We start from the raw sequence: 3230 nt of genomic DNA on the forward strand, positions 1-3230 counted from the left end.
CAACACTGCAACATCCAGATTCATAAGCAAATGTTACTAGATCTACCTAGAGAGACTGCAATATAATAATAGTAGGGACTTCAACACCCTACTTTCAGCATTAGACAGGTCACCTAGACAGAAAAGGAACAAAGAAACATTGGATTTAAACTGGATGTTAGATGAAATGGACCTAACAGACATTTGCAGAATCACTTATCCAACAACTACAGAATGAACATTCTTTTCATCAACACACTGAATATTCATTCTCCAGGATAGACCATGTTAGGCCACAAAATAAGCATCAATAAATTTTAAAAAATCAAAATCATACCAAGTATTTTCTCGTACCACAATGGAATAAAACTAAAAATCAATAGCAAGAGGAACTCCAGAAAATACAGAAATACATGGAAATTAAACAACATGAGGTGACTGAATTTCCTGAATGACCATTGGGTTAACAAAAAAATTATGAAGAAAATCAAAAAAATTCTCGAAACAAATAAATGCAAACATAACATATCAAAACCTGTGGGATATAAGGAAAGTAGTGTTACAAGGGATATTTATAGTAATAAAAGCCTACATCAAGAAAGTAAAGAGATTACAAACTAATAATCTAAGGAGGCATTTCAAGAAACTAGAAAAGCAGGAGCAAACCAAACCCAAAATTAGCAGAAGAAAAGAAAAAATAAAAATTAAGCAGGACTAAATAAAGTGGAGACTTAAAAAAACACATACACACAAAGTTGGTTCTTTAAAAAGGTAAACAAAATTGATAAGCTGCTAGCTAGAATAACTAAGAAAAGCAGAAAGAAAAAACCAAATAAACAAAAATCAGAAATGAAAAAGGACTTTGCACATGATACCACAGAAATACAAATGATCTTTAAAGACTATAGAGAATATTACGAACTACACACTGGCAAACTGGAAAGACTTGAGGAAATAGATACATCCCTAGAAACATATAACCTACCAAGATTGAACCAGGACGAAATAGAAAACCTGAACAGACCAATAAAATTAGTGAGATTGAATCAGTAATGAAAAGTCTCCCAACAACAACAAAAGAGCCCAGGACTGCATGGATTCACAGCTGAATTCTACCAAACACACAAAGAAGAACTGATAATACAAATCCTCCTGAAACTATCCCAAAAACTTAAGAAGGAGGGGATTCTCCATAACTCATACTACGATGCCAGCATTACCCAATTCCAAAACAGTAAAAAAAGAAAACTACAGACCAATATCTCTGATTAATATAGATGCAACAATCCTCAACAAAATACTAGCAAACTGAATCAAACAGCACATTAAAAAGATAATGCAAAATAGTCTGGTGGGATTTATTCCAGGGATTCAAGGATGGTTCAACATAAGCAAATCAATGTGATATAACACATTAACAGAATGAAGGACAAAAACCATATAATAATCTCAATAAAGGCAGAAAATGTAGTTGATAAAATTAAACATCACCTCATGATAAAAATTCTCAACAAACTAGGCATAGAAGGAAGATACCTCAATATAATAAAGTCCATATATGAAAAACCCACAGCTAACATCATATTAAATGGGGAAAGTTGAATGCATTCCCCCTAAGAACTGGAAAAAGACAAGGATGCCCACTTCCACCACTCCTATTCAACATTAAACTGGAAGCTCTAGCCAGAGAAATCTAGCAAGAGAAGAAAATAAAAGGCATCCAAAGTGGAAAAGTGGAAGTCAAATTATTTCTGTTTGCTGATTATATGATCTGATACCCAGAAAACCAAAATTCCACCAAAAGTCTCCTAGATTTGCTAAATGAATTCAGTGAAGTTTTGGGATACAAAACCATGCACCAAAATCAATAGCATTCTTTTACACCAATAACATATATCAAGGCAGCAATCCCATTTACAATAGCTACCAAAAAATGCTATAAATAAATTTAACAAAGGTGCTGAAAAATCTCTACAAAGAAAACTACAAAACACTCATCAAAGAAATTGAAGATGACACAAATGGAAAAACAAACCAAGCTCATGGATCAGAAGAATTAATACTGTTAAAATGGCCATGCTTCCCAAAGCAATGTACAAATTCAATGCTATTCCTATCAGACAACCAACATCATTTTTCACAGAACTAGAAAAAACTACTCTAAAATTCATATGGACCCAAAAATGAGCCTGAAATAGCCAAAGCAATCCCGTACAAAAAGAACGAAGGTGGAAGTATCACATTACCTGACTTCAAATTACGCTACAAGGCTATAGTAACCAAAACAGCATGGTACCAGTATAAAAATAGATACATACAGTAAGGTGGCTAGCCAGATGGCCAAATAGGAACAGCTCTGGTCTGCAGCTCCCAGCGAGATCAATGCAGAATGCAGGTGATTTCTGCATTTCCAACTGAGGTACCAAGCTCATCTCATTGGGACTGGTTAGACAGTAAGTGCAGCCCAGAAAGGGCGAGCCGAAGCAGGGTGGGGCATCGCCTCACTTGGGAAGTGCGAGGATTTGGGGAACTCCCTCGGCTAGCCAAGGGAATCCCTGAGGGACTGTGCCTTGAGGAAAGGTGCACTCCAGCCCCAGACACTATGCTTTTCCCATGGTCTTTGCAACCCACAGACCAGGAGATTCCCTCCAATGCCTATGCCACCAGGGCCCTGGGTTTGAAGCACAAAACTGGGCAGCCGTTTGGGCAGAAACAGAGCTAGCTGCAGGACTTTCTTTTTATACCCCAGTGGTGCCTGGAACGCCAGTGAGACAGAACTGTTTACACCCCTGGAAAGGGTGTTGAAGCCATGGAACCTAGTGGTCTAGCTCAGTGGATCCCACCCCCATGGAGTCCAGCAAGCTAAGATCCACTGGCTTGAAATTCTCGCTGCCAACACAGCAGTCTGAAGTCAACCTGGAATGCTCAAGCTTGGTCGGGGGAGGGCCATCGTCTGCCATTACTAAGGCTTGAGTAGGCAGTTTTCCCCTCACAGTGTAAACAAAGCCACTGGGAAGTTCAAACTGGGCGGGAGCCCACTGCAGCTCAGCGAAGTTGCTGTAGACAGACTGCCTCTCTAGATTCCTCAGCTCTGAGCAGGGCATCTCTGAAAGAAAGGCAGCAGCCCCAGTCAAGGGCTTATAGATCAAACTCTCATCTCCCTGGGACAGAGCACATGGGAGAAGGGACAGCTGTGGGCACAGCTTCAGCAAACTTAAACCTCCCTCTCTGCTGGCTTGGAAAAGAGCTCG

Source organism: Homo sapiens, chromosome 2 (genome assembly GCF_000001405.40).
Source record: "Homo sapiens chromosome 2, GRCh38.p14 Primary Assembly".
Taxonomy (NCBI): Eukaryota; Metazoa; Chordata; class Mammalia; order Primates; family Hominidae; genus Homo; species Homo sapiens.